We start from the raw sequence: 17,992 nt of genomic DNA on the forward strand, positions 1-17,992 counted from the left end.
ATGTAACATGATTTTTTAGCTTAATTTTTCATTGTTGAAAATAAATATCTCTATATGTTTATAAGTTACATTTTGGATCTAAATCTGTACATTGGTTGTTACTTAGTTCTTGTATTTTATATATGAGTTACATAATTGGTTATGCATGTCTGTAAGCTTTATGTATTTTATATCTAGTTATATTTTTCTGTTAATTTCATTCACATTTTTTAAATATTGAAATTATTTCACAAAAAAATACAGTATTTGTGTTTTAAAATAATTTAATCCTTGGTAGATAAGTTTATAAAACAAAAATAGTAACAGAGTTCTTGCCATTATACACGTTTTACCTTATTAATAAGTGATATGTCAGCCAAACAGTGCTAAAGCTAATGGTGTAAAAATAAAGATTAATCTGACCATTACAGCCTTCTTTCAGCATGTCCAGTAAATTCTGGATGGATGCCTTGTATATTTAAAAGAGTGCCCTGAGATAGGAGAGACTTAAAGCACAAAAAGTAGCGTTAAGGTAAACTCAATTTTCAAAGATGTTTCCTCACCTAGACAGCGTATGTAGTGTAAATATATTTTGAAAAACCATTAAAGAATCTGGTAGGTATTTTTCAAGATCAGAAATATGAACTGGAGCATACCTGACTAAATTGTCAACAGAACTTCAGGATAGTTGATGTTTAGGTTTAATGGGCAACAAATGCCAAGTCAGTAACTTCTGTTAAAATTGGGATCGGTAATCCCTGATTCACAACAGTGAAGGCCAAATTTTATGTAATCTTAAATACTACTAGTTCAACAAATATTTGAAGACTTACTCTAGCACCCTACACTAGTAAGTATATGTGTATTTTAAAATCTGCAATTTAATTAATGTTTAATTCTATATGAACTTAGTTTTAAAATGTGGGAAATAATTTAAAATACAGCTTTTTCATATTCATGCAGTGAAGTTACTGAGCACCTGCAGGTGCCTGGCACTGTGCTGGAAACAGTAGCATCAATTGTTTCAGTACTCTTTTTGAAAATTTTAGAAAATAATAATTTGGATCAGAATATTGTATCCACTTGCCTGGAGTTGCTACCTAGTTTGAAATCTTTGCCTAGGTGATGTCAAATTTTTAATTTTATGCTGCGTGTGTGTATTTGTGTATACACACACGCAGCATAAAATATATACATATGGCAAAATTAAAAGCAACTAAACGAAGTCATTCTAAGTACAGCCTTGTACTTATTTCAAACAGAATTGAAATATGTTGTCTGCTTGTTATAGTCTATGCCTCCCAGCCTTCTGATTAGTACTCCTGAGAATTCTCATAAAAATTTCCAAAGAAAATGGTGGTTATTTCAAAAGACAAGATACAATGTCCATTTTTAATTTTGTCTTTAGAAATATATATTCAAGGAAATTCGTATCTTAGATTAAATGAAATGTTTTTAATGTTTTTTTTTTAAACTGAAATTGTTTAGTTGGGCACTACATGTTAATCATATGTATAACTAGAAAACTTGCTAAGAATAAATTTTAGAGAAATAATATGTAATGGTTGTTTACATGTTTAATTGTATATTTCAGTGATATAAAATTTAAGAAACCTTAAGAAATTTTTACATGGATGGCACAAACATGTAAAATACTCTCATGCTTAAAACAAGCTAAGCAACCTGGTTTTCTTTACATAAAGTTTGTTATTCACTTTTTTTTTATTGAAGGTGATACTTACATTCCAGCTCAAATGAGGGTTGAATTGGTTTAGTCTGTGTGTATTGTTCCATGAAGAGAGAGGCTAAGTGATTTTAGCATAGACACCAAAGCTGCTATCCTTGTTTGTCCTTATTGCTTCTTGAAGGAAAATCTTAATTCATCTAAGTTATTATGTATTGCCGTGTCTGTGGTTTATATTAGTAATAAAAAGACAATTGAAAAGAATGAAGAAAATGTATCAAAGTTCATGTGAGATTGACTAAAACTACTGTTTTTACATAGCCTTAAATATGTTTTTTAATCTTAAGCATAAGCATTTGCCCAACCTTACAGAACACTTTTTATATTCTTATAAATATCCCAATTGTTCTTTTTCTTCTAGGGGATGTTCGTCTAACCCCAGAAGACTTTGCTAGAGCTCAGAAGTACTGCAAATATGCTGGCAGTGCTTTGCAGTATGAAGATGTAAGCACTGCTGTCCAGAATCTACAAAAGGCTCTCAAGTTACTGACGACAGGCAGAGAATGAAGCCTTTGTATGACAGACCCATGTATTTTTGGCATGAGGAACTAACAGTCCATTACTCTATCTTCAGCCTATCAGGATCACAGTTTTAAGGAAGACTTGGTTTTGTTGAATATGACAATGAAATCTGTGTGTATCAGATTTTTATTGAAGCATTCATCAGCAGCCTCAACCAGTTTTCATTGTCCATTTACTAGATTCAATCGTCTCTGAGTATATAGGGCTGATGTTAGCAAGACCCTAAAAATGTCCATTGAACCCTGCTTCAAAAAATGAAAACACACCTCTATAAAATGTGTACTGGGAATAAGCTTTGTATTTACATACATTAGGGGAATTTTTTAAAATCTGTAATGTTTGGACAAACAGATGATATTACTTTGCTATAAAATTATAAATGTAACTTTTAATAAAGATAGCCAGAATATTCTAAATTAGAAATTACGTTTTTGTTTCCCTCAAGACATAAAACAAATATAAACATTCTAAACTGCTGGATGAATCTGAAAAGACATTAAGTTCAAATTTTAATTTATTCTCATATTAAATATAACTCCATTAAAAGTTTAAAATTTCATGGGAGAAAATATAATAAGGTAAAGAGGTAGAATCACTTTCAGACTTAAGAATAATGTTGATTTCCCAAGTGCTTTACCTTATCTGTTAAAGCGTAAGATGAATTGGTATTTGCTTCATAGGCAGTTTGACTGCATGTATTAGAGAATGAAAAGAAGATATTTGTAGTAATGCCTGGAAACTTGGTGCTTTAAATTAAGGTACTCCTCTGCTGCTGTAGAATGGATTCCACACAGTGGATAGCTATGGGTGATTCAGAATATTATGTTTAGATTCCCATTTGTTAAGTTTATAAGTTTTGTGGGGAATTATGAACTTACTGTGTACTACCTGCATTTGTGCTGTGTGAAAAATAAATACAAGGATTCGTTTAGCTAATTCAACTTACTACAAAGACAAATGTCTGTTTTTATTTGCCTGCTAGGATTGTCTTTTTTAAAAGTCATTTTTATTTATAGGAATATGGGTGTTTCTATAGGAAGAAACAGGTTTTTTGTTTTTTGTTTTTTAAGATAAATTTGACAAAGTTAACTGAAATTTATCTGGTCCATTTTATTCATGCTACTAAGATGGGAATCTTTAAACACAAGGGTCAGCAAGCTTTGGCCCATGGATTGGCCACCTGTTACGTAAATAAAGTTTCTTTGAAACAAGCCTACACTCATTCATTTATGTTTTGTCTGTGGTTGCTTTCCACAACTGCAGAGTTGTATGGCTTGCAAGTCTAAAAACATTTACTATTTGGCCCTCTAAGAAAAAGTTAAGACACCTAGTCTAATGGCCTTTTGGGAAAAAACAAATCACTAACTCATAATCATTTATATCCATTATTTTCTGCATAAATGTAATGCTATTGTACAGGGTTTGGTAGAATAAATATTCAGACTGACTAAACTGTTCTAAATCCTCACAAAAAAGTCCCCAAACAACATGCCTCCTAAAAAACATTTTCCTATCTTTTACAAGAGGTATGAACATTTGTAGGGTTCCACATTTGCATCTAGAAATCCAATGCTCTTTAGAATGTTATTACGAATAGAAAGATGGCCAGGATGACCTTTAGTGTTACATGATGTTCAGCAAATTTTAATTCAAACCTTGATATGCCTGGACACTGAAAAGTAAACGCATCACCTCCTATTTTATACCCTACCTTCTGGTTCCCAATTGGGAGAGCACATAGAGGGAAGGAGACAATATAGAAACTACGGAGTCCGCTGGTAGTGGGCTGCATGGTGTGACAGAGCCCTTCTCTGTAAAATGGAAATGACACCACTAGCCATCTCAATAGTTACAAGAATTAAAAGAGATACAGTACCTGAAGTGCTTAGCGCATGGTAGCATTTCATAAATGTTTAGTGTCAATACTAATGCTCTAATAATGTAAATTGTTAATAATTTATTTCCCTAATATCAGGAAATCCCAGTTGTCTATGTGGCCCAGTGCTTAAAAACGCCTTCTTGCATGAGGGGATTGAACTATACAATGTTTGTTAACTTTGTATTTGTATTTTTTCCTATAAAATCTTAAAATAAAATTAGGAGATGTGTTCTGATGTAACAGTAGGATTAGCAATTTTCATTTATTCCTTCCATATATATTTACTGAATGGCTACTATATGCCTGGTATTGTTCTTTGAAAGCAGAAACAGCAGGAAAAAAAGTCCCTCCCTCATAGAGTTTACATTCTAAAAGGGAGGAAATAGATAATAAAATATACATTACATTTAATCAGTGGCTCTCCGAGTGTGATTAGAAATACAAATTTTGGGCCCCACCTGTCCTACCCAATCAGAAACTCTAGGGATGGGTCCCAGCCTTCTGAGTTTTAAGAGACACTTAAGGTGGTCCCTAAAGTTCGAGTGGTTTAGCTCTACCCAAATCAGAAATATTGCAAGTCTGAGAAAAGAGATTCTCCTCAAACCGGTTCTCAAAGGTGTCTCTGGACGACCGGCATCAGCATCACCTGCGAACTTGCTAGAAAGTTCTGGGGACCACACTATGGGAACTTCTGTATTAAATAGTGATAAATGCTATGGAGGAAACATTGAGGACAGGATAGGAGATGCTTAGGTGTGTACAGACATATGCATATTTCAATAGAATAGCCAGGATAGACCTCCCTGAGGTAACATTTGAGCAAAGAAGGAAAAGAGTAACTAGTATGCAGATACATACATGGAGGAAGAGCATTCCCAACAGGTAGACAGAAATCAGGTCAGAGGGTAAAAGCAGGAGAAAGGCTGGTGAGGGAGCTAAAAGCTTAGGATCATAAAGCTTTTTTGTAAGACACTTGACTGGGAGCTATATGGAAAGGTTTTCAGAAGAAACGTAGCCTGATGTGACTTAACTTTTGAAATAATCATATTGGCTCCTATGTTGAGAATAGACCGTAAGGTGGGTGGTAAGTAAGGGAGGAAGCTGGGAGACCAGTTAAAAAGAGTATTAACAATAGGCCGGGGGCGGTGGTTCGCACCTGCAATCCCAGCACTTTGGGAGCCAAGGCAGGCGGATCATCTGAGGTCAGGAGTATATATTTATTAATATATAAATATGTATTTATATATAAATCATAAATATATTAATAAATATATAATATATATATTAGCCTGGCATGGTGGCACATACCTCTAATCTCAGCTACTGAAGAGGCTGAGGCAGGAGAATCGCTTGAACCCAGGAGGCGGAGGTTGCAGTGAGCCGAGATCGTGCCACTGCACTCCAGCCTGGGCGACAGAGCGAGACTCCTTCTCAAAAAAAAAAAAAGTATTACAATAATCAAGGTGAGATATTATGATGTCTTAGTCCAGGAGTAGCCTTGGAGGTAATAAAACGGGATTGGTTTCTGGCGGCTTTTTTTTAGGTAGAGCCACAGGATTTCTGTAAACTGGATGTGAGGTACGAACATAAGAGAAGGAGTAAAGGTTGACTCCAGATTTTTCACCTGAATGCCTGAAAGGAATGAGTAATCATGTACTGCAGTAGGGAAAGTTGCCGAATTCCTCTCTCACTTAGACTGAAGTACAATGTTTCCAAGTTTTTGTGACCAGCCCAAGTGAAACTGATAACGGTGTTTTGTCAATGCGGCAGAGGGAGAAGAAGAAATAAGGTTCTGCTGACAATGATTGCCACAGATATCTCACCAAATCACTGCTGAACTGGAGCTGCAAGCCAAGAATAGTTCCCATGGTTAGCATGGCCTAGGAAGTTTACTGACATCAGGACTACACCAAGAAAAAGACTCCAGTTATGGGTCTTGAAAATTAATATCCTCAGATGTTTTTAGAATTTATATATGACTTGTAATTCTAGAAATTTGAGAATTCTATGTATGCATTGAAAGATTATATACTGTCTTTTCTAAAGAAACACCCTAATAGCAGCATTGTACAAATATTTTCAACTCTAAAAGAATAATAGCTAATGGAGTTGATGGGTTTTGGTTTTCATATGAGAAGTATCCTTCCCTGGTTGGTTGTAATCTTTGAAGTCTATGTGGAATTCTAAGACTGCAGGCTTGTTCATTGGAGTACACTTAAGTAGGACAAATTCTAAGTAAGCAACACTTCAATAATAATCATAATAGCTAACATTTCAATGTTTACTAAATGTCAGATACTATTCTAAGTATTTTGCATATATTAATTCATTTAATCTTCACAGTGGTCCTGAGAGGTAGGCTTTATTTCTGTTTTAAGATGAGGAAAGGGAGCCACAGAGTAACAAATTTGCCTAAGGTAACACAGCTAATATTTATTTCTAAGCTCAGACTGCCTGTTTCAGATCATAAGAAGTATCATCCATGTCAGTAAGTCACCTGTTACATTGTAAGTACAATGAGATGTTATGAGTTCCACATTATCAAGGTCATTGGACAGTTCCTTTTATTAGTGAGGTGTTAGCACCTAAATTTTTCTATTATCTGGGCCATATGTTCCAATTGACAGTGCTAGGCAGTGAACACAGGGTATGAACTTGAAAATCTGATTGCACCCTCAATATCTGGAATATACACTGATCTATGACCTGAAATTGTATGGACTGCAGCAATCCAAGGGGACACTAAGCAGGGTTTGAGTAATGCTACAATGGATTTATAGGTCATTTTGGAGAAGGTGTTCCACATCATTAGGGAGTCTGGGTTTCCCAGATGTGCCTGTTTTATCCTTTTTATTTTAAATAACATCACTGTCTTTCCTAACTAAAAATTCTTCATCTTCAGGAAATAAGATTGAGATACGGACTGAAAATATAAAATTAGCAATAATGTTTATTATTAGATACTTCCTCAATTAAATTTCTCCCTGAAAGTCTTAGGCAAAAGCCCCTGTCTCTTACTTCATATATCAAGTTTGGAGGGAAAGACATAATTGCATAGCAGTATTCCATGAATATAACTTAATGGGGAACTGGCTTCAGAGTTCAGCAATATTGGGAAGTCTTGTCAAATATTAAGTCATTCATATGTTCAAAAATATTAATATGTATTGAGCATCTACCATCAAATATTTAATATGATAATGCCATACTGGATATTATATACGAGTTACAATAATTCTTCCTAAAGTCAGGGAAAGCTTCACAGATAAGGTTGAGCTGAAGGTTTGGCAGGCAGGGAAGCAAGGAGAAGTTAGCAGAGAGAAAAGCACAAGCAACACCATGGAGGAACAAATGTGGGCAATTCAGGTAACTCGAGTAATTTAGTGTTACTATGCATATGGCCTATGGAGGCCAGGAGTGTAAATGTATTATGGCTGGGGCGGGGGGCTAGGGAATGTGTTATGACTAAATTGTATCCCTTCAGAATTCATATTTTGAAGCACTGATCTCCAGTGTGTCTGTGTTCAGAGGCAGGTCCCATAGGGAGGCAATTAAGGTTACATGAGATCATAAAGGTGAGGCCCTAATCCTATAGGTCTGCTGTCATTACAAGAAGAGGAAGAGCCACCGGAGCTGGCTCATTCTGCACGTGTACAGAGAAGAGGCCATGTGAGGACACGCAGAGGCTCGAATATGCTCTCAACCCTATCAGTTGCCTGCTTTAATTCATCCCATGGAATTGTTTTGTCTTTTCGACCCCTCGGCTATGTTATTTGTATTGTGATATAGGGGATATTCGGAGTCCTCTGAGACGGGACAAGGACACTGGACGGTCTATTGTGCCATGCTTATATATTTTCTGTATACAATGCTTTCTGTATAAAACCAGTAATACCTGAGAAACAACAGTAACTTGACAAAATTACTATTGATCACTTAACTTTATGTATCACGTAAGTTAAACTTTATTTATTTACATGTGTCTCCCTCATTAGATGCTAAGTTCCTTGATATTTTATACATTTGTGAATTCCTGGTAATTCACATGAAGCTTGATGCATTGTAAGTATTCTGACCTGGTGAAATAAATATACGAATGGGCAAAAAAATATATACTAAAATGATCAAATAAAGGTTGTGTTCAGAAACCTCTGTTCTATTATATCATAGTGATTTAAGATTATAATAATTGCATCAAAACGTTCTGAAATCACATATTAATCTTACTTATCAAAAAAATCCAGTCCATGCCACCCAGCAAGTCTCGATTCTTAATTCGAATGCATGGTTCTTTATCTTTTGACACCATGAAGCATGATGTCAGGTATGCTCAGGACATTCTTAGAATATACACTAATAACATCCTAGTCACAGACATATATGATACTTGTTAGCAGCTTATATGTTCTTGGTCTGTCTATACTCTGGCAGAGATTAATATATTCAAGCTCAATGGAGTGAAGAAGTAGCAATGTGTATCTTAAAAATGGGAGAAAATATTTAGACCACATTGAAAATTGAAAATATTTATGGTGACTGAGGAAATTGTAACTGGAAGATTATTGCTCCAGATGAAGAGACAAGAGGAAGTTTAAAATTAAAGCCACCAATGACATCTGAACATTTTGGGAAAGTCAGAACTCATTTGATTTTTTTTTCCTCAATAGTTAATCTTTTCTTCTGCCTACTGGTTCAAAGATAAGCAACTGAAAAAAAGGTGTGAAGATGAGAAAACCATAGGCACAGAACGCTGTCACGCAGAGGGGTCTGTTCTGAGTCAGGAAGCTGATGTTCTGGTACGCTCACTGTGGCAATCTGTTCTGTCTACCAGAAAATTGGCCCTTCTGAACCTCCTGTGAGCTTTAGTTTTCCCACAACAACCAGGAGCAGGCAAAACTAGATTTCTACGGTGTTTTGGAGATCTAATATTCAAGTCTCTGAATAATACTTAGACTTCTGCAAACAAAATTTGGGATTAGGTGTGTGGCCCTTGAAACGCCCTCATTTTAACTAGACAAATTATAACATGTTTTTAAAACTTAAATCTTGACAGTCATCCTATTCTGTGATTAAATATCCCCCGAACACTTTCTGTTAATATGCCAAGAATTCAGTAAATAAATCCATTTGAACTAGGTTAAACGAAAGACTGTAATTGCAAAATAATTGCTGTTTCTATGGGCAGGGAATATTCTTCTGCCAGTGTAAAGATTGTCAACGAGCACAAACCTGACGAAGATTTAAGAGCAAAGAGCATTACCAAAGATAAACAGAGTCATTTCATAATGATGAAGTGGCTCAATCAAGAGGATATAACAATCTTAAAGGTTTATGTGCCTACCCACAGAGGTTTAAAATACGTGAAGCAAAAGCCAATACAACTGCAAAGAGAAAAACAGATTTTGACACCCTCTCAATAACTGATGGAACCATTAAAAAATATGACTAGCACATTGGATCCAAAATAAATTGGCCCTTATGACCCTGAATGACACGTTGTTTTTTTTCTTCAGTGAACTATTGTTGGGGGTGACTCCGAGATAGAATGGTATAAAAATAATTCACTGATGTTTTTCTCCTGAATGGAGATTTTATTTCTACATTGATGAAGATTGCAAACAACATGTCTGCCTTTTTTGGTCCTGAATTTAAAGGGAAACACAAGAGGTGTTTAGTTATTTACAAACAAGTATATATTCTTGTTGATCCTTTTTTCAATACTATCTTGAGATACTGTTTGTAAGTATCCTCCTATAAGTATTTCCAAAAGTCTGCCAACCAAGCAGCTTAGAAGAATCTATTCCAAGTTTCTATAGAAAAACTCTGAGATGAATTTATTATTTTTTGGTACCATTTATGAGAAAAATCTCAGCTTTGAAGGTAGAATAGCATACAGAATCCTGTTAAATAGTATATTTGTATATATGTCTATGTATGATATATATCAGATATATACATATGTATCAGTAATCCCTCTGAAAATGTTGTTTTAATTGTGTGGAACAAAAAGCAAAGTAAATCAGCGAGTAACTTATTTTCTAATCTCATCTGCCAATGTTGGAGATGACTTTTTTGTTCCTGTCATACTAGGTAGTTACGTCTCTACAAAATCACTGCAAAAGATTGAACCATTTCTGATGAATGAACTTTGACCTACTGCAGAGACACGGTAGATATTCAATTAATATCAGTTCAACACACTTTGGTTAAGTGCAAAGCACTGAGGACATGAAGTTTTCATTAGAGGTGTCTGCCGCTCAGGAGCTTAACGTCTATTTAGGGACACAGATGTGCACAAACATAATTGAAGGCATAGTTAAAATGCCAAAGAGAAGGCACACTAATGCATTGCTATCGAAACTTAAATATTTTTTTTTCCAAACTGTGGTAACTGCGTCATTACATTTCACTGGGATGACAGCATCTGAGTTGCACCTTACAGAATGAGTAGAATTTCAATAGGGAAAGTGAGATGGGTAATTAAGGTAAGAGGAGGCATAAGAGGAAAAATATGATGGTGGGAAAGCAAGTAACTTGTGTCAATAGCAGTGAAATAGCCATGTTAGTCCTAAGGAGAGGCTGTTTAGTTATATATCCATTCAATATGTCAATGAATATATTTTTGAAACAAATTACTCCTTGTTTACATGTTTTATTAATTTGAGTTTTAAAGTTTAGCCTACTACCTTGTCTTAGTCCATTCAGGCTACAACAAAATACCTCGGACTGGGTAATTTATAAACAATAGAAATGTACTGCTTACAATTCTGGAGGCTGGGAAGTCCAAAATCAAGGCACCAGCAGATTCAGTATCTGGTGAGGGCTCTCTGCTTTATAGATGGTGCCTTCTTGCTGTGTCCTCACATGGCAGAAGGGGCAAACAAGCTCATCCCGGCCTCTTTTATAAGGGCACTAATCCCATTCATGAAGGCTCTGCCCTCATGACTTAAGCACTTCCCAGAAGCCCCTACCTCTATTTTTCTTCTTCAACTGTTACTTTAACTTCAGGGGTACATGAACAAGATGTTCAGGTTTGTTACATAAGTAAAAATGTGCCATGGTGGTTTGCTGCCCAGATCATCCCATCACCTAGGTATTAAGCCCAGCATCCATTAGCTTTTCTTCCTGATGCTCTCTCTACCCCCAACCTTCCACCATCAGCAGGCCCCAGTGTGTGTTGTCCCCTGCCCCCTACATGTCCATGTGTTCTCATCCTTTGATTCCCACTTATAAGTGAGAACATGTAGTGTTTTGTTTTCTGTTCCTGCATTAGTTTGCTCATGATAACGGCTTCTGGCTCCATCCATGTCCCTACAAAGGACATGATAGTGTTCCTTTTTATGGCTGTGTAGTATTCCATGGTGTATATGTACTACACTTTCTTGATCCAGTCTATCATTGATGGGCATTTGAGTTGATTCCATGTCTTTGCTATTGTGAATAGTGCTGCAGTGAACATATGCATCCATGTATCTTTATAATAGAATGATTTATATTACTTTGGATATATACCCAGTAATGGGATTCCTGGGTCAAATGGTATTTCTGCTTCTAGATCTTTGAGGAAACACCATACTGTCTTCCACAATGGTTGAACTAATTTACACTCCCACCAACAGTGTAGAAGTGTTCCTTTTCCTCCACAACCTTATCAGAATCTGTTGTTTGTTGACTTTATAATGATTGCCATACTGACTGGCATGAGATGGTATCTGATTGTGGCTTTGCTTTGCATTTTTCTAATGATCAGTGGTGTTGAGCTTTTTTCGTATGTTTCTTGGCCACATGTATGTCTTATTTTGAGAAGTGTCCTGTTCATGTCTTTTGCCCACTTTTAAATGAGGTTGTCTGGTTTTTCTTGTAAATCTGTTTAAGTTCCTTGTAAACTCTGGATGTTAGACCTTTGTCAGATAGATAGATTGCAAAAATTTTACCCTATTCTGTAGGTTGTCTGTTCACTCTTTTACTGTGCAGAAGGTCCTTAGTTTAATTAGATACCATTTGTCAATTTTTGCTTTTGCTGCAATTGCTTTTGGTGTTTTTGTCATGAAATCTTTGCCTGCACCTATGCCCCGAATGGTATTGCCTGGGTTTTCTTCTAGGGCTTTTATAATTCTGGGATTTACATTTAAGTCTTTAATCCATCTTGAGTTGATTTTTGTATATGGTGTAAGAAAGGGGTCCAGTTTCAATTTTCTGCATATGACTAGCCAGCACTTCCAGCACCATTTAGTAAATAGGGAATCCTCTCCCCATTGCTTGTTTTTGTCAACTTTATTGAAGATCAGATGGTTGTAGGAGTGCAGTCTTATTTCTGAGTTCTCTATCCTGTTCCATTGGTCTCTGTGTCTGTTCTTGTACCATTACCATGCTGCTTTGGTTACTGTAGCCTTATAGTATAGTTTGAAGTCATGTACTATGATGCCTCCAGCTTTGTTCTTTTTGTTTAGGATTGTCTTCGCTATACAGACTCTTTTTTGCTTCCATATAAATTTTAAAAAAGATTTTCTAATTCTGTGAAGAATGTCAATGGCAGCTCAATGAGAATACTCAATGAGAATAGTATTGAATCTATAAATTACTTTGGGCAGTATGGCCATTTTCACCATATTGATTCTTCCTATGCATAAGCATAAAATATTGCTCCATTTGTTTTTGTCCTCGCTGAATTCTTTGAGAAGTGGTTTGTAGTGCACCCTAAAGAGGTTCTTTATGTCCCTTGTTGGCTGTACTCCTAGGTATTTTATTCTTTTTGTGGCAATTGTGAATGGGAATTCATTCATGATTTGGTCTCTGCTTGCCTGTTGTTGGTGTATAGGAATGCTACTAATTTTTGCACATTGATTTTTTTTATTATACCTTAAGTTCTAAGGTACATGTGCACAACATGCAGGTTTGTTACATAGGTATACATGTGCCATGTTGGTTTGCTGCACCCATCAACTCGTCATTTCCATTAGGTATTTCTCCCAGTGCTATCCCTCCCCCTGCCCCCACGCTCCAACAGGCCCCGGTGTGTGATGTTCCCTGCCCTGTGTCCGTGTGTTCTTGTTGTTCAACTCTCACCTATGAGTCAGAACATATGGTGTTTGGTTTTCTGTCCTTGTGATAGTTGGCTTAGAATGGATGCTTTCTAGCTTTATCCATGTCTCTGCAAAGGACATGAATTCAACCTTTTTTATGGCTGCATAGTATTCCATGGTGTATATGTGCCACATTTTCTTAATCTAGTCTATCATTGATGGACATTTGGGTTGATCAAGTCTTTGCTATTGTGAATAGTGCCACAATAAACATACGTGTGCATGTGTCTTTATAGTAGCATGATTTATAATCCTTTGAGTATATACCCAGTAATGGGATTGCTGGGTCAAATGGTATCTCTAGTTCTAGATCCTTGAGGAATTGCCACACTGTCTTCCACAATGGTTGAACTAATTTACACCCCCACCACAGTGTAAAAGCATTCCTTTTTCTCCACATCCTCTCCAGCATCTGTTGTTTCCTGACTTTTTAAATGATCGCTATTCTAAATGGCATGAGATGTTATCTCGTTGTGGTTTTGATTGGCATTTCTCTGATGACCAGTGATGATGAGCATTTTTTCATATGTCTATTGGTTGAATAAATGTCTTCTTTTGAGAAGTGTCTGTTTATATACTTTTCCCACTTTTTGATGGGGTTATTTGTTTTTTTCTTATAAATTTGTTTGAGTTCTTTGTAGATTCTGGATATTAGCCCTTTGTCAGATGAGTAGATTGCAAAGATTTTCTCCCATTCTGTAAGTTGCCTGTTCACTCTGATGATAGTTTCTTTGGCTGTGCAGAAGCTCTTTAGTTTAATTAGATTCCATTTGTCTATTTTGGCTTTTGTTGCCATTGCTTTGGTGTTTTAGTCTTGTAGTCTTTGCCCATACCTATGTCCTGAATGGTATTGCCTAGGTTTTCTTCTAGGGTTTTTATGGTGTTAGGTCTTACATTTAAGTCTTTAATCCATCTTGAGTTAATTTTTGTATACGGAAGGGATCCAGTTTTAGCTTTCTACATATGGCTAGCCAGTTTTCCCAGCACCATTTATCAAATAGGGAATCCTTTACCCATTGTTTGTTTTTGTCAGGTTTGTCAAAGATCAGATGGTTGTAGATGTGTGGTGTTATTTCTGAGGCCTCTGTTCTGTTCCATTGGTCTATATATCTGTTTTGGTACTGGCACCATGCTGTTTTGGTTACTGTACACTTGTAGTATAGTTTGAAGTCAGGTAGTGTGATGCCTCCAGCTTTGTTCTTTTTGCTTAGAATTGTCTTGGCTATGCGTGCTCTTTTTTGGTTCCATATGAACTTTAAAGTAGTTTTTTCCAATTCTGTGAAGGAAGTCAGTGGTAGCTTGATGGGGATAGCATTGAATGTATAAGTTACCTTGGGCAGTATGGCCCTTTTCATGATATTGATTCTTCCTATCCATGAGCATGAAATGCTCTTCCATTTGTTTGTGTCCTCTTTTATTTTGTTGAGCACTGGTTTGTAGTTCTCCTTGAAGAGGTCCTTCACATCCCTTGTAAGTTGTATTCCTAGGTATTTTATTCTCTTTGCAGTAATTGTGAATGGGCACCCACTCATGATTTGGCTCTCTGTTTGTCTATTATTGGTGTATAGGAATGCTTGTGATTTTTGCACGTTGATTTTGTATCCTGAGACTTTGCTGAAGTTGCTTATCAGCTTAAGGAGATTTGGGGCTGAGACGATGGGGTTTTCCAAATATACAATCATGTCATCTGCAAACAGAGACAATTTGACTTCTTCTTTTCCTAATTGAATACCTTTATTTCTTTCTGTTGCCTGATTGCCCTAGCCAGAACTTCTGACACTATGTTGAATAGGAGTGGTGGGAGAGGGCATCCTTCATCCTCGTCTTGTGCCTATTTTCAAAGGGAATAATGCTTTCAGTTTTTGCCCATTCAGTATGATATTGGCTGTGGGTTTGTCATAAATAGCTCTTATTATTTTGAGATACATTCCATCAATACCTAGTTTATTGAGCATTTTTAGCATGAAGGGCTGTTGAATTTTGTCAAAGGCCTTTTATGAGGCTAGCATCATCCTGATGCCAAAGCCTGGGAGAGACACAACAAAAAAAGATAATTTTAGGCCAATATCCCAGAAGTACATTGATGCAAAAATCCTCAGTAAAATACTGGCAAACTAAATCCAGCAGCACATCAAAACGTTATCCATGACAATCAAGTTGGCTTCATCCCTCGGATTCAAGGCTGGTTCTACATATGCAAATCAACAAACGTAATCCATCACATAAAAAGAACCAATGACAAAAACCACATGATTACTGCAACAGATGCAGAAAAGCCCAAAAGCTTCTTAAGCTGATCAGCAACTTCAGGAAAGTCTCAGGATATAAAATCAATGTGTACTGGGCATGGTGGCTCATGCCTATAATCCCAGCACTTTGGGAGGCCAAGGCAGGCAGATCACCCGGGATCCGGAGTTAGAGACCAGCCTGGCCAACATGGCAAAACCACGTCTCTACTAAAAATACAAAAATTGGCCGGGCATGGTGGTGGGCACCTGTAGTCCCAGCTACTTGGGAGGCTGAGGCAAGAGAATTGCTTGAACCCCAGGAGGTGGAGATTGCAGTGAGGCGAGATCAGGCCACTGCACTCTAGCCTGGGTGACAAAGCAAGACTCCATCTCAAAAAAAGGAGTCACTTCCAAGATGGCCAAATAGGAACAGCTCCAGTCTGCAGCTCTTAGTGAGATGGAGGGCAAGCTGAAGTAGGGCAGGGCATCGCCTTACCCAGGAAGTGCAAGGGGCTGGGGGATTTCCCTTTCCTAGCCAAGGGAAGCCGTGACAGACTGTACCTGGAGAAATGGTACACTCCTGATCAAATACTGCACTTTTCCCACAGTCTTAGCAACTGGCAGAATAAGAGATGCCCTCTCGTGCCTGGCTTGGCAGATCCCATGCCCACGGAGCCTTGCTCACTGCTAGCGCAGCAGTCTGAGATCAACCTGCAATGCTGCAGCTTGACAGGGGGAGGAGTGTCTGCCATTGCTGAGGCTTGAGTAGCTCACAGTGTAAACAAAGACGCCAGGAAGCATGAACTGAACAGAGCCCACCACAGCTCAGCAAGGCCTACTGCCTTTATAGATTCCACCTCTGGGGGCAGAGCATAGTAGAAAAAAAGGCAGCAGACAGCTTCTGCAGACTTAAATGTCCCTGTCCGACAGCTCTGAAGAGAGCAGTGGTTCTCTCAACATGACGTTCGAGCTCCGAGAATGACAGACTGCCTCCTCAAGTGGGTCCCTGACCCCCGTGTAGCCTGACTGGGAAACACCTCCCAGTAGGGGCCAACAGACACCTCAAACAGGCAGGTGCCCCTCTGGGACGAAGCCTCCAGAGGAAGGATCAGGCAGCAATATTTGCTGTTCTGCAGCCTCCACTGGTGATACCCAGGCAAACAGGGTCTGGAGTGAACCTCCAAATGAGTCTTTTGAGAAGAAGGAGCACATATTATTCGAGGTGTGTTTAATACAGTCACAATTTACCTTCTCAGGAAAGTCTTAGTGTTTAGGCATTTAAATTCTTATACTACTTGGGGAATGTATTAGTCAGGGTTCTCTAGAGGGACAGAACTAATAGGATAGATAGATAGATATAAAGGGGAGTTTATTAAGTATTAACTCACTTGATCACAAGGTTCCACAATAGGCCATCTGCAAGCTTGAGGAGCAAGGAGAGCCAGTCCGAGTCTCAAAACTGAAGAACCTGGAGTCCCATGTTTGAGGGCAGGAAGCATCCAGCACAGGAGAAAGATGTAAGCTGGGAGGCTAGGCCAGTCTCTCCTTTTCCCTTTCTGCTTTATATTCACTGGCAACAGATTAGATGGTGCCCACCAAATTAAGGGTGGGTTTGCCTTTTCCAGCCCACTAACTCAAATCTCAAATGTTAATCTCCTTTGGCAATGCCCTCACAGACACCCCCAAGACCAACACCAATCCAATCAAATTGACACTCAGTATTAACCATCTCAGGGAAGATGAATAATCCTAGAAACTTGAATTCAGTCCTAATGAAGTGTAAAAAGCTTTAGTAGTGTTGATGAAGGTGATCTAAACTCTTTGATTCACAAACTCTTAAAGAAGGAAGGGACCTCAAAGATGATATTTTCCAGTCCTTCCATTTTACAAAGGATGGACCTGAGACCCAGGAGAGATGCAGTTATTTACTCGGGATCACACAGCTGGTTAGTGAAAGAGTAAAAACCAAAACACCTCTGACTCTCTTCTTATATCACGTTCTGAAGACTATTTCAAAATGATTCAGCTGGCTAAGCACATTTTGAAATTTGACATTTTCCTCAAAATACATGTGTAAGTCCAGCGGGGATCATTAATTGATTAGTCAATTCCTTCATAAATATTCACTAATTATTACTCTAAAATGCCCTCAAAACTCCACAAAAGTACAAAGACGTATATCACTTCTGCTTACAGTTTCCAATCTCCCTAGAGCAGTAAGAAACATACACATAAAAAGATACCTAATGTCCCAAGATAAAATGTCAAATTGAGACGATGTGTAATAACATGTCAAATTGAGACATTGTGTAATAACATGTCAAATCGTATGATAAAATGTCAAATTGAGAGAGAAAATAACAAGGGTGTAGGCTATCACTGTGTCCTTAAAAATGTCGAAGAAGGCTTTGTAGAGTAAGCAGAGCTTGAAGATACTCGGATTTTCCTGGCATTATGGAAACTCTAACTCTTGCTGTACAAGATGATTTGCATGACTTGTAGAAAAGGGTCTGTACTCTTTTTGCCATTCCCAGGGCAATAACAGAGTTTTAATTCT

General features: G+C 37.4%; 1 protein-coding gene across 3 annotated transcripts in view; it reads left to right on the forward strand.

The window, feature by feature from the left end:
- VTA1 (vesicle trafficking 1) overlaps nt 1-8,272 on the forward strand; it is a 77,423-nt gene extending 69,151 nt beyond the window's left edge. For all 3 annotated transcript variants that reach the window (NM_016485.5, NM_001286371.2, NM_001286372.2), the window contains one exon: nt 2,085-8,272. In NM_016485.5, the coding sequence (NP_057569.2) occupies nt 2,085-2,230 (146 nt within the window). In that variant the 3' untranslated portion in view covers nt 2,231-8,272. The remainder of the gene's footprint in view (nt 1-2,084) is intronic.
- Nucleotides 8,273-17,992: the final 9,720 nt, after the last annotated feature.

The sequence above is a fragment of the Homo sapiens genome, chromosome 6, assembly GCF_000001405.40.
Source record: "Homo sapiens chromosome 6, GRCh38.p14 Primary Assembly".
Classification (NCBI taxonomy): domain Eukaryota; kingdom Metazoa; phylum Chordata; class Mammalia; order Primates; family Hominidae; genus Homo; species Homo sapiens.